Genomic DNA, 22631 nt, shown 5'->3' with positions numbered 1-22631 from the left:
CACTAAAAAATCATGAACTCTTCACGGTCTCCCTCTTGTTTATATCAAGTGTCTATAACATAAGAGAGTTCTTTGCACGATGCAAGCCCCCGGAGGGTGAAGCTACTTCTGCCCAGCTCTCTTTGCACAAAATTACAAGCAAGTGGACACTGAGAGCATTGTTGATGCTCATAGTGGTGGTGCCTCCTCTACTGCAAGAAGAATTATATGTAATAAAGGATCTTCTCCAAACTCCACACTCCACTCCCACTCAGGACAATCCCTGATGAGCTGCAGGCACTCAGGAAATGTTTGGGCCATGAATAAGTACATTAAGTAAAGTCTGTAACATTTAACAAGTCCGGAGCAGCACCCAATTAGCCACTCTGAGTTCTTTTTTTTCCCCCAGCTTTATGAACGTGTGATTGACAAATAAAAATCATGTATGTTTAAGGTGTACAATGTGACGTTTTGATATACATATACAGTGTGAAATGATTCCTACAATCAAGCTAATTAATATACCTGCCATTTGACAGTTACATTTGTGTGTATGTGTGTGTATGTGTGGTGAGAACGCTTAAGATCTTCTCCCATATCAAAGTATATTTCAAGTATATAATACATTATTATTAACTAAAATCACTATGCTGTCCATTAGCTCTCCAGAACTTATTAATTTTATAACTGAAAGTTTGGACCCTTTGGTCAACAATTCCTCATTTCCTTCATCCCTCGGCCCCTGGTAGCTACCCTTCTACTCTGTGCTTCTGAGTTCAGCTTTTATGTCCCATATATAATGAGATCATGTGATATTTACCTTCTTGTGTCTGGGGTATTTCACTTAGCATAACATCCTCCAGATTCACCCATGTTGTTGCAAATGGCAGGATTTCCTTCTTTTTTTAAGGCTGAATAGTATTCCATTGGGTACATATGCTGCATTTTCTTTACCCACTCATCTGTCAGTGGATACTTAGGCTGTTTCCTCTTGGCTGCTTGGCTACTGTGAATAATGCTGCAATCAAGATGGGAATGCAGCTATCACTTCTCAGCTGTTCTTAAGCCAGGCTATCAGATTTCTCAACATTGCCCTGATGGAAGAGAGCGATGTGCATGTGTGTGTGTTCTGTATGCCTTGCCATGTATGTGGCAGCAGATGATAGGAACTGATGGGAGGAGGAAGCTTAAGGGGGCAAAGGAACTAATTCTACGAAATACTTAATAATGGACAATTACAGAATAACGCAATGCAGAACTGCAAATGACCTTATAGATGGGTGCTAACAAAACTTTATTTATTTATCTATTTATTTATTTACTTACTTACTTGTTTTTAGAGACAGGGTCTTACTATATTGACCAGGCTGGTCTTGAACCCCTAACCTCAAGCCCAATCCTCCTGACTCAGCCTCCCAAAGTGCTGGGATTACAGGCATGAGCCACCATATCCACCCCCAAAACTTTTTATAGTGATGAAAATGTCTGATATCTAACCTGTCTGATATAGTAGCCACGGGCCACACATGTAGCTAGTGAGCATTTGAAATATCAGCTACTGTGACTGAGGAGCCAAATTTTTTAACAAATTTAATTAAAATTAAATTCAAATAGTCACATGTCGCTAGTGGTTACAATGTTGGACAGTGCAGTTGTCGATCACCTAAATTTTTTCTTTGGTTAGCAGAAGAAACTGAGGCCCAAAGAAATAGCTCTTGGGCATCACCCAAGCTTATCCATTGGACTTCACAGGTAGCACATCAAGACTCAATTGTATCATGGCTTTCTGGTGCATTCATGGAGTGTTTGTCCCACTTACAGAGATGTTAGCAGAGTCCCTTTATGAGGCCCAGGGGTAAAGACCAAAAAGATTCACCACAGTTCCTCAGGTAAGTTTGGACTGGAAGAGCTGGAGGCAGGGGCAAGACCTTGGGGGAAATCACCCAACTGCTGCTTCGGTCTCTTCTCTGCCACCATCAATGCCCCAGCAGGGTGAGCGCATCTGGTTCTCTCCACCCAGGTAATGTGAGGTCTCTCCCGCCTCGTCGCCTGCAGCTAAGGTCTCATCACTGGCATGAACAGAAAAGCCAAGATTGGAGATGGTGGCAGAAGTTAATTGAGATTAGATGCGCGTGTTCCATGGTTAACAAAAGCACAGATGCTCCAGAGCCACTTCTTAAACCCGATCATTTTCTAAGTACTCTCCCATCCTCCCTCGCTGCTGCCTTCCACCCTACCCCCAGCAATCCACTGCCTCCAGGGGCTCCGGAGAGGTATGGATTGGGCTCTTTCTCCCTTTGCATGTTATGACTCGATATCAGTTAACCCTTTTCCATAGTGAGTGAGGTCATTTGTGGAAGGAATGGAGAAAACAGAGACCCCCGGCCTCGCCTTAGCACACCCCCTCCCCTCCTTCTCCCTCATGTCTCCGCTGCTGTCGGCTTCCTTATTTGGGCTGCCAATAACAGAGGTGAAGTCAAGGTACCCACAAATCACCCTCTACAGTCAGAACACAAAGAACGTCCATTGTCAAAACATATTTCAGGCTCCCATGGCAGGGATGGAGAATCAGGGAAAAGCACGAGCTATGAATCGCCAGAGAATTCCCCCAGCCTACCCCAAGGAACCCCATTGTTGGAGCAATTGAATTCCAAGCTTCAGATGGACTCTGATTCTCAGACTCAGGGAGCTAGTTCACCAGGGCCACCTTCTTAGAAAAGATGAGTTCAGCATTATCTGTTCCTTTGGAATAAGTAAGGGATTGAGAAGGACAGAGATGTAAGCAATTCCCACCTGTGATTCTAAAAGTGCTTTCTTCTTCAGCCCAAATCTGAGCAGTTTCCGTGTCAGCCACACCCTAGGGTGCAAGCACACTGTCCCTGGACCTAGAGTCTGATTTGTACACTCAGGAGCCTCCAAGGAGGACAGAGATAGCCTCACAATAAACGCAGCGGTCTTCCTGGGAAGAGAAAGACCCTGCCGAGCCACTCCTGCCTGCCTGTCCGAGACCTGTTAGCTGAAACAGACAAAAATGTAAGAGACAGCCTGTTGACCTGCTGGGGCACAGGGGAGCCAGGAGCACACAGGACAAGAAGGAAGCCACATGGGGAGGCAGGCTATGAAGCCATCAGCGAGGGAAGGGCCGGGGAGGGACACCTGCCAGAGCTGGCCCTTCTAGCTGTAAGTGGGGTCTCAATTGGAATAAAATTCTCTTTGAAAAAAACTGACAAGGTGGTTTTTTGGCTACCACTCAGCAATTCCCTTTGCACCTTTCTTAAGGAATTCCTTCTGGGAAGCAGCCCATGTGTTAAAGGAACGAACCAGCCCACTCTTGTTGAAGCTGGCCCCTTGTGCCTTCTTCAGTCCATTTCAGCAGTCACTGGACATCTACTCTGTACTTTCTTCTTTCTCTTCACCACAGAGGACCTCTTTTCTTGCTAGCACAATGCCTTTCTCTCTTCTTTTACATTGTATTTTATTTTTTGTAGAGACAAGGTCTCACTATGTTACCCAGGCTGGTCTCAAACTCCTGGCCTCAAGCAATCCCCCTGCCTTGGCTTCCCAAAGCACTGGGATTACAGGCAGGAGCCAATGTGCCCGGCCCCTGTTTCTCTTTTCATTGGATTCCCCCACTGGTGAAAAATGGCTGGAGATACTGAAGGTCAGGGAGGGAGGCAATGGCAGGAGCAGAAATGGAAGCAAAGGAGGGCTGTGACAGCACCATGTCTCTTAATTGGTATTCAGATTCTTGCCTGACTTGGTTTTGTCCCCAGCATTGGCCTGACTCCTAAAGGCAGCTTGCATTGGGTGACCTTGAGGGTCCCTGAAGGTAAGGGCTGAGCTGTAGAAGCATTGGACAGCTTTCCCCAGCTCACTTGCCTCTACATAGTCTACTGGAGGTGCCTCTGGGTCCCACTCAAGCTCCGAGTAGACACACCCACCACCTACCTGCAGGGCACTGCATTCAAAGCCAAACAAACCTGAGACACTCTGTGTTATCTTAAACTGCACACCCACACAGTGCTCCTGGGAGCATCCAGGATGGGAAACAGCAGAGGTGAAGATTTCAGCCTGACAGCCAAGGAGACCCACATCTTGAACAAATACGCTTCTTCTGCTTCGGAACGTCTGCCCAAGCCCAGCAATTTCATCATCGTTTGCTGCAATTAGCAAGCCCTGGTCAACACACAAGGAGTTTATTTGCACTGATAACATCTCCCATCATCTAAGACCTTCCTGCCAAAGGTCACCATAGAGCCTGTCGGCAGGAATCCTTTTCTGGCCCACTCCTCTGCCATGTCAGGTGGGGGTAAGGTGTGAATGGAATTCCTTGTCTCTCAATTTTGAAGATGTTATAATCTAGGCTCAGAGCTTAAGGAAAATCCTGCCAGTTAGAGAACAAATCCAGGTGGAGCCATGGCATCCTCTTCTTTGAGCTTTTCTCACACTGACCACAGCAAATCTATCAACCGATATTTAGTGAGGACCTATTACAAATGAGGCATCACAGAAGACCCAAACATGTGCACATCAAAATTCCTGCCCTCACTGGAAGAAATCTCTGCTTTTTTGAGGAGATGCCATTCAGGGCACGTCAGGAGCTATGCAAGTGTGAACTGCACAACTCCAGGGAGTACATTCACATGGAGCACAACACAGTGGCCCTGGATGTAATGATACGAACGTGTTATTCCCAACAGGAGGAGGTACTCGCCAAATGCTGTAGAAACAGAGAAGGGTGAGGTCATGTGGGGTGACGGGATGGAGGGACTTCAAAGTCCTGGGGCTTGAGTTTCACCTAGAAGGATGATCTGGATTTAGCTGAAAGGAGATTGATGCAGAAGACACTCCAGAGTGTAAAATCCCTAGAGGTAGGGGTCTGGTCAGAAACAGCTGGTAAAAGCTCGCAACATACTGAACAGAATAGTTTGTCTGGAAAGGAGAGTTTATGTGGAGCAGAGGTAGGAAACCTGTTTAAAAATATAAACTGAAGTCCAAATACCACTGAAGGGTCCTTGGCTGAACTCTGTCCTACTAGAGAACCATGTCCTAGATCTTCCTAGAGATGAGAGGATGCTGGGTGGAGTTCATGGATAGGGTTCAGATCCAGCTCTGTGGCTGAACCTCCAAATGGATGCTCACCCAACGTGGGCAGCAGGCTCTTGTGCAGCCCCACTCCTGAGGACTGCACCCCCACTTTTCCTCACTGGGAGCCTAACATCTGCCATCTAATCACTGTGGGAACAAGGCTTTCCCATTCACTTCAGTTCCATTCTTTAGAAAAGAGCCTTTCCTCATTTTCCTGCCTCCAAACCCATCAACTTCTCTAAACCCACACCCATCTTCCCTCCCTCTCCTTCCTCCTATCCCAGTGGAGGCAGAGGCTGGTCCTTCTGTGTTCCAGATCTCAAAACACTTCAGGGGTTTGTTGCATTGTTTACGCCCTCCCATTCTAAAATTTTCAACTTCCCCTCCCTACTTGAACTTTCTCTTCATTATTTAGATATGCTCTAGAATCCCCCATCTTAAAATGGAAACCTTCCTTAACCCCACACCGACCTCTAACAACCGCTCTATCTCTGTATTTACTATCTTCCCCACCAAGCTGCCCAACAACCTTGTATACAGATGCTTTCTCCATTTTCTTACTTTAACCCACATCATTGTGTCTTCCACAGCTGTCCCCCACCATGACACACACACACACACACACACACACACACACACACACACACACCACTGAAACTGCTTTTGCCAAGACCACCAGTGACTCCCAGGTTACTAAATGTCATGGGCACTCTCTAGTGCCTTCATCCTACTCAACTCTTCAATAGTGTTTGACCAGTTAACCCCTCCCTCCTTTTTTGAAGCACTCTCGTCTTTCTGTTCCTATGATGTCACTGTCTCCCAGTTTTCTCCTCTCTTGCTGTGCTTTTTGCAGCCTCCCTTTCCTTGAGCAAACCATACTAACTCTTTACTATTTGTACAAGTCTATGCACTTTATATTTCTAACTGCTTTAATCCTCAAAACAATCCTATGACACAGATGTTACTATTTTCCCCATTTTGCTAGAAAAGAAAACTAAGACACAGAAAAACTTTGCTCAGCTTACTTAGTAACTGCAAAAGACAAGATTTGAACAGACAGTTTTGGTCCTGAGTCTGTGCTGTTCAATGCCACATTTCGCTGTCTCTTTACTTGTATTAGAATAGAATAGAATGGGTTGCAATAGCAAACAACCTCAAGATCTCAGTAGCTGGACAAGAGTCTATTTCTACCTCATGTTTTATGTCCAGGATATATCTTCAAGGATTCTGCTCCACAAAGTCACCCAGGGACCCAGGTAATGGAGGCCCCAACAACTAGTAGCTGCAGAAAGGATAGATAGGGAGAGAGAGAGAGAGAGAGAGAGAGAGAGAGAGAGAGAGAGAGGAGAAACTGGAACATTACATATGGGTTTTTCAGTGTGATTTCCACTCACATTTCTTTGACTAGGACTAGTCCCATGGCCTTACCTAAATGCAAGAGGGATGGGAAATATTGGGAAGCAAATGGAATACTTGCTGAGATATTGTATCTGCAGTACTAAACTTTATCTTTTTATTTTTATTTTTTTAGAGACAAGATTTCATTATGTTGCCCAGGCTGGTCTCAAACTTGTGAGCTCAGGCGATCCTCCCACCTCATCCTCCTGAGTATCTGGAATTACAGACGTGAGCCACCATTCCTGGCTCACAATACTAAACACTTTTTTTCTTTCCACCTTTTAGGTTCAAGGGGTACATGTGCAGGTGTGTGACATGGGTAAATTTCATGTCATGGGAGTTTGATGTACAGATAATTTTGTCATTCAGGTAGGTAATCAGCATAATACCCTACAGGGAGTTCTTCAGTCTTTACCCTTTTCCCATCCTCCACCCTCAAGGAGGCTCCAGTGTCTACTGTTTTCTTGTGTTCATGTGTACTCAATGTTTAGCTCCCACTTATAAGTGAGAACATGTGGTATTTGGTTTTCTGTTCCTGCATTAATTTACTTAAGATAATGGCTTCCAGCTCTATCATGTTACAGCAAAGGACATAATTTCATTCTTTTTTATGGCTGTGTAGTATTCCGTGGTGTATATGTACCATATTTTCTTCATCCAGTCCATTCCTGATGGGCATCTAGGTTGATTCCATGTCTTCACTATTGTAAAAAGTGCCGTGATGAACATACTCGTGCGTGTGTTTATGGTAGAACGATTTCTATTCCTGTGGGTATATATCCAGTAATGGGGTTGCTGGGTCAAATGCTAATTCTATTTTAAGTTCTTTGAGAAATCTCCAAACTGCTTTCCACAGCTGCTGAACGAATTTCCATCCCCACCAGCAGTGTAAAAGCGTTCCCTTTTAAGTACAAATTCACCAGCATCTTTCGTTTTTTTCCTTTTAATAACAACCACTGCAGTTTTAACTTGCATTTCCCTAATGATTAGTGAGAGTGAACGTTTTCCATATGCTTTTGGCCACATATACGTCTTCTTCTGAGAAACTGTCTATAAATGCTGGAGATTCTCCAGACTCAGTCTTAGGCCCTCATCTTATTTTCCATACCTTTACTATTTATATCATGAAACTTCACTATTTTATATATTTAGCCCAGACCTCAGCTTCATTTATAACTACCAATCTTGCCTATGTGCTTACTTGACATCTTTAAAAGGTATATAAAAAATTTGTTAAATTTACATATTCAAAACAAAACTCTTAGAGTTCTCCCTCATCATAATTTCTCTCCTGCCCTAACCTATCTCATTTCAATAAGTGATATCTCCATATATTTAGTCATTTCTGCCAAAAATCTGCCTCCTCCCTTTACTTCCCATATTCAACCTGTAACCAAGTCTGGATGAGCCTATCTTCAAAATAATGTTAAATTCACCCAGTTATCACCAGCACTGTCACTCTTGTCTAAACTGCCACCACCTGTTGCCTACTGCAATAGCTTCCTCCCCGCTCTCCCTATTTCTTTTCTGCTGCCCTTCTAGAACATTCTCCACACTGCAACCAACCTAATCTTTGTAAAGTACAAATCAGATTATGGATCATGCCACTCCTTCCCGCCTCAGTGGTATCCATCTTGCTCAGGGTTAGGTTCAAAGTCCTTGAAGGGACCTATAAAGCCCCCCCAATTAAGTCCCCACCTATTTCCCCAACAACATCCTATGCTATTTGTCCCTTCCTGCACTACTTGCCTGCCTCACAGCCCTTCTCTGAGTTCCTTGAATTTGCCACACTCTTACCAGACCAAGCCTTCAAATATGCTGCTGCTCTCCTGCTCTCATTCCTTAGAGTGCTCCTTTTTTTTTTTTTTTTTTTTTTTTTTGAGATGGAATCTCACTCTGTCACCCAGGCTGGAGTGTAGTGGCGTGATCTCAGCTCACTGCAACCTCTGTCACCCAGGTTCAAATGATCCTCATGTCTCAGCCTCCTGAGTAGCTGGGTTTACAGGCGCACGCCACCACACCTGGCTAATTTTTTTGTATTTTTGTATTTTTAGTAGAGGCAGCGTTTTGCCATGTTGGCCAGGCTGGTCTGGAACTCCTGACCTCAGGTGATCCGCCCACCTCAGCCTCCCAAAGTGCTGGGATTACAGGCATGAGCCACTGTGCAGTGCTGGAATTACAGGTGTGAGCCACCACACCTGGCCTAAAGAGCTTTTTTTCATCCTCTACCCCACAAAGTCCTTCTCATGCATGGGTCTCATCCCAAATGTTACCTCCCAGGAGAGACCTTTCATGAGACCCCAGTGTAAATGTTGTCCTCCTGGTGTACTATCTCATCACAACCTACTCTTTTTCTTTATAGCACTTACTACAATTTGTAATTACACATCTATTTTGTGACTTTAATATCTTACTCTCATGGAACCATAGCTCCATGGAAGCTATGGTGAAATGTATTTTTGTTCACCATTGTATCCTCTGTACACAGTGTCTGGCATATAACAGGTTGCCAGTCAACAATTGTTCAATGAATGAGCCAATGATAAAATAACCCCTCGCCCTAGAATACGTCTTCAGTGATCTGCAGATTCAGCCTCTCACAGAGTTAGCTTACCATCTCCCCAACCCCTCACTTTTAATCCATGTGGTTATGACAAAGATCTTTTGTTGCCTAGGTCTCCAGAGAATGTGCAGAATGTGATGGCCTAGAATGGTTCCACTGAGCCTGGCTCCTGAGGGGACCTAGGCAGCATTGCCTAAGGCTGAACTGCACTGAGTCACAGACAGACTCAGCAGGGTGGAGGTCTCTTTTATTCATTTTGTAAAAATGATTAATTAATAACTGACCTCCTTAGTCCAGTATGCAAGCAAGCTGACCGATCCTACTTTCCAACTCTATTGCTGCTACAACCAATTGCCACAAACTTAGTGGCTTTAAACAACACAAACTTATTATCTTAGATTTCTGGAGTTCAGAAGTCTGAAGTGAGTCTCACTGGCAGGGCCGCACTCCTTTCTGGAGGCTTGGAGGGGAATCTATCTCCTTGCCTTCCCAGTGTCTTGTATTCTTTGGTTCACAGCCCCTTCCTCCATCTTCCAAGCCAGCGATATCAGACTGAGCCTTCTCACACTGTCTCCTCTCCGGTTCTCTCTCTTCTGCCTCTCTCTTCCACTGACAAGGACCCTTATGATTTCACTGGGCCCATCCAAACAAACCAGGATAATCTCACCATCTCAAGGTCAACTGATGAGCAACCTTAATTTCCACTACAACCGCTTTGCCAAGTAACTCAACATAGTCATAAGTTGTGGGGATTAGGACATGGACATCCTTGGGGGACCATATTCTGCCCACCACCAACCTCACTCCCTTCCGCTTCTCACTCCCAAACTCTACATTTTACCCACAAAGAACTTGAGACTCAGAATCATTATTCTGAAGAGCCAGGGTGGTAGGAATGAGGGCCTGCAGGAAACCGCACAAGTTGCCTTGGAAAGTTTCCCAAACGTGCTCTGCCTGGTGTACTCTCCATACCACAGATCATCATACAGCATTCCAAATTTTTTCACCCGAAAATGAAGATAAGGATGACTGTCTCTCTGGGTCGTTATGAGGATTCAATGAATTAACATTTGTACAGTGCTTAGGGAAGCAGGATACTGGATGAAAAAAGAGCTTGCCCTCTGGCTTCAGAAGTCTGGGTTCAAATCTTTTTTATTTATTTATTTATTTTTTTGAGATGGAGTCTTGCTCTGTCACCCAGGCTGGAGTACAGTGGCATCTCAGCTCACTGCAACCTCTGCCTCCTGGGTTCAAGCAGTTGTCCTACCTCAGCCTCCCAAGTAGCTTGGATTACAGGCGCGTGCCACCAAGCCTGGCTAATTTTTATATTTTTAGTAGAGGCAGGGTTTCACCATGTTGGCCAGGCTGGTCTTGAACTCCTGACCTCAAGTGACCCACCTGCCTTGGCCTCCCAAAGTGCTGGGATTACAGGCATGAGCCACCACGCCCAGCTAACTTTTGTATTTTCAGTAGAGACGGGGTTTCACCATGTTGGCCAGGCTGGTCTCGAACTCCTGACCTTAGGTGATCCACCCGTCTCATCCTCCCAAAGTCTTGAGATTACAGGCGTAAGCCACCACGCCCAGCCCTGGGTTCAAATCTTGGTTGCCCAACATTTAATAATTGTGTGACTCTAGCAGATTATTAAATTTTTATAAATTCCCTCAAAACTTCTATTTCCTCAAGTATAAAATAAGGATACCAAAAATACCCATCTTACAAGGTTGCTGTGGCGATCAAATGAGGTAAGTCATGCAAAGCATTTAACATATAGTAATTGCTCTAGAAGATGAGATACTATGACTATTATACTAGAACCCCTAATAAATTGTAGCTTTTCTTTGTTGTGCCGGTGCTTTATTTCGTTCTTTCATCTGACAGATTCTCAAACCTCAGCTTAAACATTGTATCTGCAGGAAAACCTTCCTTCCCCTTCTTTCCTAGGCAGAAGTAGTTAATTATTTCCTCCTGTGCATTTCCATAACACCCAGCCTACGTTTCTATTACGGCCTCAATACAATGGGTTGAATTAAGGATCTTGTATACCCCATCACCACCATACACATAAGAGATTGTGAGCTACTTGGGGGCAGGTTCCATGTCCCATTCATCTGTCTATACTCAATGCCTGGTTCAGGGCCCAGGCAGTGAGATGTTTAAAAAATGTTTGTTGAGGCTGGGAGTGGTGGCTTCTGCCTGTAATCCCAGCACTTTGGGAGGCTGAGCTGGGAGGATCACTTGAGCCCAGGATTTCAAGACCAGCCATAGTGAGACCTGTCTCTATGAGAAACAAACAAACAAACAAAAAATGCCCAGGCATGGTGGCACACACTTGGAGCCCCAGCACTTTGGGAAATCAAGGTGGTAGGATCATTTGAGCTCAGGATTTCAAGACCAGCCTGAGCAACATAGTCAGACCTCACCTCTACAAAAAGAAAAAAAAAAAAAAATAGCTGGGCAGGGTAGTGCATGCCTGTAGTTCCAGCCACTTGGGAGGCTGAGGTGGCAGGATCACTTGAGCCTGAGAGTTTGAGGCTGCAGTGAGCCATGATCATGCTGCTGCACTCCAGTCTGGGTGACAGAGCAAAAACCTGTCTCAAAAAAAAGAAAAAATAAAATGTTTGTTGATTGAATAAACATAAAATTCTATGTTACTACTTAGAAATTAGCATAACATAGAATATTTATTAGCTTTTTTGTCTAGTCGTCCATAGTATCACTGTGTTCCCAGTATTCAGAAAGGTGAAGTGCACATTCTTTGTTTCCTGGGAGCAGCATTCCTTGGGGTTTGAGCAGAACTGGTCCCCGGGGAGAGCTACAGCAAGAAAGCAGGATTTCCCCATGTCTAGCCCCCTTTCCAGAGGAGTCTTAGGTAGTGTACCTCAGACCACCACCCCTCATTGTCAGTTTAGGGGCTTGCATTCCCTGGTTCAGCAACTTGGCCCCAGAGAAAAAGTCTACCCCAAGCAGAACAGGGCTTAAAATCATATTTTCATGGGATGTCAAATCTCCTCTCTTACCTTAAATGAAAGGTATTATTTCTGAGAGGAGAATATCACACTCCACCACCAAAATTCTGCTTCCTCGGCAAAAACCCCAGCAGTTTCTCTGCATGGCTGGCAGCTCTCCACCCAAGGCCAATGCTAGGAAATTCACCAGGCCCAACGCAAATCATGAGAGCACAAGCCCCTCTGTGATTACAACAAGGGAAAGCAAACTCAAGGAGCATTTGCTGTGCAAAAACGGGAGAGGAGAGGAGGAGATATGGTCCAGAGACACCAGCCCAGGCCTCACAACAGGTCATAGCTCCTCTCGGGAAATTTACCCATCACTTTGCCTAATAAGTAAATTATCCGCAGCTCAGCAACCTCTGAGCCTTCCCTGTAACAAGTGATATCCTTTCACCTTCATCTTTGGTATATATAAAAATATATCCTTCTTAGCTGCCAAAAAGCTATCAGCCCCTTGTCTCTAAGCAATTCATGCTGGAGACTCAGACCTCTTTCTGATTCACCCACATGGAACCTGCTCTGGGATAAAAAGCTTTGTATGGAGCTGGGGAGGGTGGAAAAGGTGTCAGCCAGTGACTGGATTCAAATAAATGGGAAACTGTCTATACTTTTTAATGAGTGAGAAGGACCGGGGGAGCAGGTCAGAATGCGGCTTTCTGTCCCTTGAGCTCCCTGTTGTGTCAGCTTCCATGTGTGTGGCCTGGGGGCTGATCACGCTGTAAGTCCCCGAGAGTCCCAGGCACACTGGCTGCTTACCTAGCTGGCAGCTCTAAGCATGGACACCTGTCCACTGCAGCAATATCTTCCCAGATCCGGGGGATTCTGGTCCTACTTTTCCTCCCTAGCCATTCCCAGAGGCTCCTGCTTCCTGACAGAGATGTGAGTCTCCTTTGGGCATAACCCAGTTGATTAGCTCAGGAGTCTGTATCTTCTAGGTGCCCTGTGGCTGGTACCAACCTGTTCAATCCTAGTGCTCTCTGTGTTAAGCAGCTGGTCCGAGGGGCCACATGTTTTGCCAAGATTAATTTAGGCATTGACTTATGTGTGGCCTGCAAGCTCTCTTGGCAAGGCACCTCCTATCCAGACGTTCCATCACCCTGGCACCTGAGCCGACAGGGTGCGCCATAGCCTTGTGGAACCCTGACTGGACTTCTAGGGGCCCGCCTCCTCCAGAAAACTTCCAGTGACAAAGAGTGTCCTCCTGACCCAGGACTCTCCACTCAGAAATCTCCAGCTTGCTCCTCCAGCACCTCAGTCCATTGCATGACTGGGGGCTGTATGCAAACATTTGCTTTGATTTGTAAAATGATCCATATAATTAGGGAAAAGAGTTAAATAAAGGGACTGATTTCAGAGAGCAGGTTCTTAATGACACTAATACCTGACAAAAGGGGTCATTATGATAGGCTAATGGGCCTTGCCTGGCATTCAGCTCTCTCAGGACACAATCCAACACACTCAATTATCTGCTAATCAGGGCCGTTTTGTCAGAGGTTATTGCCCTGAAGTATCAATTATAGGAACATTATTAATACTTTATGGAGAAACCACATGCATGAAAGTGTTAAACTCATGGGGCGAGCCCTTCAGCCCCCTCCCCACTTGGACCCATAAAATACAATCTCTTTTTACCTCCATTTACCTCCCCAACTGGGGCTTACTACGACCCATTGGGTCTGCTGGGAAGGAGCCAGGGCCATGATGATGTTTGCAATCCTGTCACCTGTGACCAAGCTGGCAATCCCAACTCTTAATGCCACCAGCTGGCAACAGTGGCTTAGCCCAAAGCCAAGGCATTACTGACTCAAGATGTGAGGGGGAAACAGGGAGCCACTGGGGCTGCCAGAACAAGAAGTCTCTCTCTCCCTCTCTCCCTCTGTGTGTGTGTGTGTGTGTGTGTGTGTGTGTGTGTGTGTGTGTGTGTTTCCCTCTCTCTTCCTTACTATCTCTCTCTCAGTCTGTCTCTTTCTTTCTCTCCCTCCCTTTTCTTTTCCTTCTCCTCCTCCTCCTCCTTCTTTTCTTTCTCTCTCTCCTCACCCCCTCAATGTGGTCCTTTCAAGGAAGTGGAGAAGAGCTGGAAGGAGGCCCGCCACTTCAGAATACAGTCTGCTCAGGACACGGTCTACGCTGCTTCCTAGAACCCACGGCTGCCTGCTGGACACTCGGATTTCGCCTCTAAGGAGGCACCATCCAACACAGAAACGAGGAATAACTCTAAAATGTGTTGTGATATAGAAGACAAAACGTGATAAGAACTTTAGAGCCAGATCAGTCCTGATTCAAATCTCTGTCGTACCACTCGCTGTCAGCAGGATTTCAAGCAAGTCACTCAGCCTCTCTGGGCTCTAGTTTTCCAATGTCCTGAGAGGCAGTGTATCATAGTGAAGGAAAAAGGAGGCTTCAGGATGCCGGCTTTGCCACTTACTAGGTGTCCAAACTTGAGTGAGTTATTTAGCCTCTTTGGACCTGTTTCTCACATGTAGGGCAGAGATGGTTACATCCATATGCGAGAGCCCTGGTGAAGGTTAAACAATAACATGTGCACAAGGGGAGGACAGTACCGGGCACATTTCATTCACAGGGAGCGGGATACTAACTTTGAGGTGGGGTTCTGAGGTTGAAATATTTGTTGCTAAATAATAATGAGCCCAAACACTCAGAAACAGCAAGATCTCTCTGCTCCTTCACCCTTGAATAATTAAACAATTGCCAGTAGGACAAGGGTTTACTGGTTTTTCCAGCTGGGAAAGAGGGTGGTAGTGATCCCCTGAAAGTCCATCCAGTGTTCTGGCATCCTGGGAAAGTGCCCAGCCTGCCTGGGGGAAGCTGCCTTTCCGGAATAGATGGGACTCTCCACACCTGCGGCCCAGCAGGCCTAGATCTGCCTGTTACAATCAGGACTACTTGCAGAAAGAAGACTTGGTGCCTCGTCAGGATCTCCTGTAATCTGATTTATGCAGTTTAATCTCATGAGAAAAAGGAAGCAAGAAGAGATAGGAGAGTCTGCTCTGCTACTTAATGGTCTCTCTCTTCTTTGTCGACTTTACTCTGTGGTTGAGGAAGTGGAAATTTAAAATATGGTTGTGTTCATGCATTCACCAATAGTTGTTGAGTACCTACAATGAGTTAGTGATGTGATCACAGTCTAGAAGTGGGAGACCAACTCAAGAACAGATCAATTCTACTAGAGTTTGATCTACAAAAGTATCTATCTACATGCCTAGAGGTTCCTATAATTCCTGGTCAAGCTAAAGGAATGTGAGTTATTCCATCTGGGGAAATGAGCCGAACCACAGAAATGTAAAACGCTCAAGTGTTAGGAGAATTGTCAAAAATGGGTGGTCATCTCCAGCTCAACCGAATACAGACATCAGAGAAACAAATTTTCTATAACTATGAGGTTTTAGGCCAAGAGGCTTAGCCTAAACATCAATAAAAATGCAGGAACAGGCTCTGCAGCCTCTTACCTGGAGACGAGAGTCAGCAACTGAAGGCGCTTGGTTGACTTTGGCAGAATCCAGTCCAGTGCAGAGGGAGGACCAGCACTACAATTCCGTGTCCACCTGGTATGGCCAGGAAAAAGGGAACCAGCACTTACAGGCAAAAGGCCTCGAAATCCTGCCTGTGACAGCCTGACCCACGGCTCAGTGGTAGGAAGTGTAGGTGGAAGGAATGAAGGTGCTGAGAATGCGCCCTCCTGACCCTTGATTATGGCTTATAAATGTGCTGTTTGGTGGGCCTGCGTAATTAGTGTTTGTGTTAAGCAGTTACGGGGTTAAGTGCTACCAGGGGTTTCATTTGGGCTGACAGAGTCTGAGCTGCAGAGTGGGGTGGTTGCCTAGCAACAACACCTGTAGCACATTAAGCAGCCAGTCAGCTTTGTCAACTTCTAGCAGGGGCTTTGTAGAGCGGATGACAGGGAAGAGGAAGGTTTGTGGGGCACAGAGGTGGGAAGCTGGGCAGTGCATCTCAGGATGCAAGAGGGTTCTGGGGAAATCAAGTGTTTGTGTGAATTCCACAAGAACAGCTTTATGTCTATGTTCCTCAAGCAGGAGAAAGATCAACAGCTCCAGGTGTGACTCCAGGACAGATATCCTCAGTCTTACTGTCACCTGTTTCTAAAACCCTCACAGCAGCAGCTGAGTGAAATAGGAATCCCCCTTCCTCAACCCAAGCCCCCTCTCAAATAAAGTGCCTCAGATTGGGTGATTGGAGAGGGAGGGATAAGGGAGAAGTACTTTCATGGTTTTGTTTTCAGATTCAAGAAGAACAGGGGATATTTCTGCTGACTTGTCTTTGAGGCAGCAATCACAGAGAACAAAGCAGAGACCCTGAGAGGGTAAGATCTTTCTCACCACCTTCCCTTCTCACCTCCCATGCACTTCTCTGGACTTCATCTCATGCACGCCTGAGATACGGCTGGAAAAAAGAACAGATTTGAAGAAGGGTAGGGAGCTTGGTGATATTGCTGCTGCCTTTGTAGTATTCATGGCCTAGCTAGCCTTCTGCCAGATTTCCAAGCTGCCCTGAGTGGCGGTGGAGGGATAGAGTGGTGCACCTTCTAAGAGTGGGCAATCCAGAATGAAGCACTAGCAATCAGGTGGTGTGGGATCAACTCTGCTTCTGTCACTTGTAAGCCAATAGCCTTTGGCCGATACCTGTCCGGAGACTCAATTTTCTCATCTGTAAAGTGGAGGATAATTATATGTGCTCCACTTACATTATGAAGATCAAAGGAGGCCACTTAAGTAAAAGCATGCTACGAAAGCTATAAATCCTCCTACATGTATAAGGTATTAGTATTACAAGGAAGACGCCAATATATCTGCTCTTTCAGAATGGCCTGAGCTATCTGCTGTTTGGCCCACAGCGAAGAGCAGAGGAGCAGCCACGTGGCTGTGTTGCCGGGTAACTTGGTGGTGGAATGGCTCTGAAAGGAGGCCTATTCAACTCTGCTATTCTAGGTTCACTGGTTCAAATCCAGCCCTAGGCCAACAATTACTGTAATCACTGGGTTTGGAATTCAAGCGTCTGACTTTCGGAAGACCTTTTGCTTATCTGTGACCCATTGAGTTTTCACCACAAACTTATGCATGCGATTACACGGGAAGCCGGGAGACTGCAGAACCTGGCTTGTGGTCCCAAACACAGATCCACCCACCCTCCCCTCTGCAGGCCAAGGCTGCTTCTTCTAGATTATCTTAAAAGGCAATCTGGGGGCTGAAGGGTACGTCGTTTGCCCTCTGGGCTTGGAAGTAAGTATCGGCATGGCCGAGCCACATCTGACACTGCCTTTAAGTGTCCTAGGCCTACCCAATCCTCCCTGCATGACTGAGAAAGCAGGCGTCTGGCTTTCTCCACCACAGTTAAGAGAGCTCCTCCTCCTACCCTTTAAGCCACACCACATCTGATCAGGAAAAAAAAAAAAAATGTCTGTGTATATATTCAGAAACCAGCAGATTTAAGGCCCATCCAGGCTGAAGTAGCAACTTGCCAGCCCAGAATGCACCAAGCCTTCTATGTGATTTTGTGGGTTTTCTGCCTGTGTGTCTGTGGGGTCTGCAAACGCCCTGCCACACCCAGAGTGACAGACGCTGTGTGTGTACGCAAGCCGCTCGCTCCCCGGAACCCCTGCTCCTGTGTTGTGCCGTTATTTTCATGCTCTGTGTTATATTTAACTCAAGTCATAATATTTGGGGGGTTGGAAGCCTGCTGTTTCACCAAGAAAGGCATTTGAATATTCTCAGTTCCAGAGAATTCCAAGGGCTCTGGGAAGAGTGAGGCGGTTGCCCCAGATTTGCCTGACACATCGTGATCACGTGGACTCCATTAGTGGAGGGCTGAGGTGCTGAGCAGGCAGCCTAAAGGAATGTTGAGAAACAATGAAGAGGAGCCCTGAGTGATGTCAGCAGGAGGCTGATGCCTCTGGGGGTCCCAGGCAGTCGCCTCACACATCCCCTAGGGGAGGGAAGCACTAATTGGCGACACCACCTGCCTTGTTACCCCCACCCCCCACCTCGTACACCCCATGTCAATCCGAGGGGATGCAGAACCAAAGTCCCACGTGATGTGAGGGGAGGCGTAACTCAGCTCATCCCCAACTGAGGCTCTCACTCATCTCATCTCCAATAAGAAAAGCAAGCATCCGAATGGAGCCCCATCTAAATAGTGGGGGTCACTGTTTTGCCCCAAAGAAGGCCTGGCAAGGTTAGCATCGGCAAAGTACAAGTCATCCATAAAGGGTGGAAACAAGGATAATATTATTTATTATCCTTTAAATATTAAACATAATATAAATATTTAAATATAAATATCTAAATATTAAATATAAATATCTGAATATTAAATATAAATATCCTTTAAATATTAAATATTATTTATTATTCCTTATCGTAAGAAGCTATCCTTGAAGACATAGGTAGATTCACCTGTTTCTGGACTTTATGGACACCTTGTATATATTTTTTAATTCTGGGTCTCTAAGTACATTTCCTGAAAGTTCTTTCCATATTATATGATAAATTTCTCTGCGAGATTCCACCATATTTCTTTTTCTTTAAAAAAAATTTTTGTTGATTTTTTAGTTTTTATTTTTGAGACAGGGTCTCACCCTGTCACCCAGGCTGAAGTGCAGTGGCGTGATTGCAGCTCACTGCAACCCCAACCTCCTGGGCTCAAGCGATCCTCCCACCTCAGCCTCCTGAATAGATGGGACTACAGGTGCACACTGGGCTAATTTTTGTATTTTTTGTAGAGACGAGTTCTCGCTGTGTTGCCCAGGCTGGTCTCAAACTCCTGGGCTCAAGTAATCTGCCTGCCTTGGCCTCCCAAAGTAACCCTATTTCTTTCACACCATTTCTCCAAGCAACAGAGGATAGTTTGGGCAGTTTCCCAAACACACTGGGGTGGAGTCTGCCAGTAGCTGGAGAGGGAGGCCAGCTAGGATTGCAACATACTTTTCATTATGGTGTCTAGACAGAAGCAGGTCTTAAAGTTGGAGAAGAGGAGAAGGGAAAGTACCATATCCCAGGGAACCAAACACTGTCTAATCCCCTCACCAGTGAGAGCAGCTGGCCCGAGGCCTGCAGGGTGTCCTGTGAGAACAGCTCCCACTGGTGCCTTCAAGGGTCTTGCCAGGTGGAGGAGTCCAGGAGTCAGTCACTCGGGGAGCAGCAGACGAGGGCTACCCCAGTCCCTGGCCACTGCAGGCCATGCTCTCATCTCCAGCCTGAACCAACGCACTAAAACCAGCACTTGCTTCACATTCATGGGAACTGACATATGGCATAACTTTTTTTTTAATCTTCCAAGTTCCCTAGGCAGCTTTGACGTGAATATTAATACTAACATAATTTTATGATGATTAGAGAACACAATTAGGGGCTATTAATAATGACACAAATAATGACATTTAAGGCCTCATTTTAATTTGAGTAATATTCTGTCTGGTGGTATTCAAACAGCTCTGTCTAGCACAATTAGTATAGTACTGGGGTGCAGTCACTTTTCACAGAATCCGTCAGTCGCTCCTCACCAACACACCTCCACGGCAAGGGAGACAGATGGGGGACCCTGCCCCACACCTGAGATGCACCCAGAGACAGCCTTCTGCTGCAGCCTTGACTTGGACCCCAGGGACAGGTCTCTCAGACAGAGGGCGTTGTGCACAGATTTCAAGAGTCTAAATTGGGAAAGAGTGCTGGTGGCTGGATTAAAGTCCGCTAAGCAGTCAGTTGTTCCAACTTTAGGTACCACATCTCCCCAAGAAGGTGGACGAACAGTGTGGGTTTCCATTTCCAGCTTCCCTCGGCTAAATCCTACTTGACCTGCAGAACATGGCTCCCCACTGAGTCCCACAAGGCCCCCCAAGCCCTCTCCTTCTGCAGCATTATTCTAGGCTGTCCACAGAGTACAGTACACTCAAGTGTAGTGATTTGTGTACTTACCCACCTTCCCAGCGGGCTGCTCACTCTTTGAGGGGTGAGGTTGTGTCTTATCTGCCTTTAAACCCTCAGCTCCCAGGTACATAGTTGACTCTCAGTCAAAGCTCGTTGAGTGACTTAATGGCGAAATGACAGCGGTTCTGCCTTGCACCCACGGAGCATGTGTTGAAGCTGGTATACTATTATAGCATTTCACTCTCAGAGCTCTAAACTGCATCTTTGCTTTTGTTGTGTTTTGTTTCTTTTTTTAGAGATAGAGTCTCATTCTGTCACCTAGGTTGGAGTGCAGTGGTGCCTTCATAGCTCATTGTAACCTTGAACTCCTGGGCTCAAGCAGTCCTCCCACCTCAGCCTCCCAAGTAGCTGTGACTATAGGCATAGGCATGCACCACCATACCTGGATTTTTTTTTTTTTTTTATTTTGAGAGATGGCTGGTCCCAAATTCCTGGGCTCAACCGCTCCTCCCACCTCAGCTTTCCAAAGTGCTGAGATTACACATGTGGTCCAAACTGCATCTTTTGGGTGTTTATGACCAAAAGCAAACATGTGAGAGATGGCTAGGCTGGTTGAGGAGGTGCACAGTAAGGAAATATTTGTGAACTGTGAGACTTCAGTGGTTAAACAAAAACCAGTGGCCCTTAAGACTTAAAATAACCCAAGATCCTTAACCTGTGCGTTCACCAGCTAGGGGAAACATACCCTAGTTGCATATGTTTTGAGTTGTAGACTACATTCTTTATGAAGAGAATTAGCTGATAAGCCTGGACAAGAAACTAGGTTTTCTCCCAATTCAGGTCTCTAGAGTAGAGAGGAGAAACTGAAATAGCAAACTTCCCGATAAGTGAGGATTATAAATGAAGAAAAATGAGGAAGAGGGGAAGAAGGAAGAGGATGGGAGAAGGGCGGGAAGGAGGAGGGAGGAGAAGGGTGAAGGAGGAAGTTGGGGAGGAAGAGGAAGAAGAAGGAAAGCTATTTGTTGAGCGTTTTTCATGTGCCAGGCACTTCAGTACGTAACAACCGCTATGTTCTTTGATCCTCAAAATAATCCTATGAGATATATACTATTATTATTCTCACTTCACCAACGAGGAAGCTCAAGTTTAAAGAGGTTAAAGTAACATGCCCGGCCACATGGTAGCATGCAGCTGGGCCAGGCTTCAAGCCCCTGTCTGTCTGACTCCAGAGCCCAAATCGTGACCACCCACTGTACTAGGACAGGTGACAGAGGAGGATTAGGATCATGTGGGATGCTTACGTCACAGGATGGGGAAGGCCACCCACCAAGTGCATATGATAGATGAGGCAGCTTGTTGATGTCCCTGCCACCTAAGGACCCTGTGAAGTCTGCAGGGGGAAAAATGAAAATCCACTGGCCAAGGGCCAGCACAGGGAGCCCTAGAGCTGACAAGGGCAGGACACTGGCCCCCTAGAAAGGGTGGCACTAGACATACCCAACAACAGGGTTGGCGGGTGGCCAACCCCAGCACAGGCTGACAGTGTTTTGGCAGAGGCCAGCAAGACTTCGGAGGCTGGGGCAGGGTCCGCGAGCAGCGGGGGAAGTTAAGTGGAACCTTTCTGGGTAATTGACTCTCTCTGCCCATAGGACCCCCTGCCAAGCCCAGGCAGGCCCAGCCTGACATGCTGCAACCTGTCTGAAGTCTGTTCTGCAGCGGCAGAGCGCCTGGTTGACAGCAGGCTGATAATTTTGTTATAAGACTCACCCTTTCAGTTGCAAGCTCCTTTTGTCTGAATCCCTGATGTGGAACTCAGGGAACCATCTGAACGTATGCCAGTGGTGGCAGCAGCAGCCACAGTGTAACCAACAGGCAGTATGGGGGCTGGGGGCTCCAGGCTGAGTCCCCCTACTCACCAGCAGCCATCTCAGCAAGCTGGTACCCACCCACAGTGCCACGTGCCCACTATCAGACAGGGGCAGAGAGTGCAGAAGGGCACTGGGTCCCACACCAAGGGATTCTTATGGCAACAGGAGGCCTTGAAAGCCCCAAAGCTGGTCACTCATCCATTTTCTCCTTCCAGGGCACAACACATATTTCCTATTGCCACTGACTACCATCCCCTAAATCCTTCCCTCTCTTCTCTTAGTCCACAAGGCCTGGGATTGTGCCCATCCATCCCTTATAGCCAGCCACCTCAAGGAACAGCAGGGAACACCACCTACTTTGACAGGGACTCAGGATCCAAATGCCCTGATCACGAGGGGAAGCAGCTGCAGAGGGCATGCACGGGCTAACGAAGGGGCACAGAGGATGTGTAGGCACAGCAGTCAGGGGCAGCATGGAGATGGGGCTTCGTGGGACCCAGGAGGGGCAAAGAAGCAGGGCAGCCAGCTAGAAACAAGTCCAGGGCCAGGCTGAGCTGCCATTCTCTGGCCTCCTCTTTAGGCTCTGTGGTTGCTTTTCATTCTTGTTTAACACGTGTTTAAACTGAACTTCTCTTCCCCACTCACCTGCAGCTTCTCCTAGTGCCCTGAGCTCTATGACTGACACTGCTCTTCTCCCAGCTGAGTTATCTGGGGCCATTCCTGAACCCACCTCAGCTGCCAATCAGAGTTAGAGTTGCATTGATTTCATGCCCCCCACCCAGGGGTAGTGGGGTACCATCTACAGGGGTACCATTGTTTCCAGTCT

General features: G+C 46.5%; 1 long non-coding RNA gene across 1 annotated transcript in view, besides 2 other annotated features; it reads right to left on the bottom strand.

Moving 5' to 3' along the window:
• Nucleotides 1-22631, bottom strand: part of LINC02698 (long intergenic non-protein coding RNA 2698) — a 242222-nt gene that overhangs the window by 209287 nt on the left and 10304 nt on the right. The window contains exon 2 of the long non-coding RNA XR_001748394.3: nt 15507-15602. This is a non-coding gene — a long non-coding RNA (long intergenic non-protein coding RNA 2698). The remainder of the gene's footprint in view (nt 1-15506; nt 15603-22631) is intronic.
• Nucleotides 21099-21599: an enhancer, noted in NCBI's record as "H3K4me1 hESC enhancer chr11:115541407-115541907 (GRCh37/hg19 assembly coordinates)". NCBI's record gives its function as "activates a minimal SCP1, AML or CMV promoter by ChIP-STARR-seq in naive H9 embryonic stem cells {active_cell/tissue: H9 hESC(naive)}" and the evidence as "EXISTENCE:reporter gene assay evidence [ECO:0000049][PMID:30033119]".
• Nucleotides 21600-22100: an enhancer, noted in NCBI's record as "H3K4me1 hESC enhancer chr11:115540906-115541406 (GRCh37/hg19 assembly coordinates)". NCBI's record gives its function as "activates a minimal SCP1, AML or CMV promoter by ChIP-STARR-seq in naive H9 embryonic stem cells {active_cell/tissue: H9 hESC(naive)}" and the evidence as "EXISTENCE:reporter gene assay evidence [ECO:0000049][PMID:30033119]".

The sequence above is a fragment of the Homo sapiens genome, chromosome 11 (assembly GCF_000001405.40).
Source record: "Homo sapiens chromosome 11, GRCh38.p14 Primary Assembly".
Taxonomy (NCBI): domain Eukaryota; kingdom Metazoa; phylum Chordata; class Mammalia; order Primates; family Hominidae; genus Homo; species Homo sapiens.
This window is presented reverse-complemented; position numbering and strand designations above follow the sequence as displayed.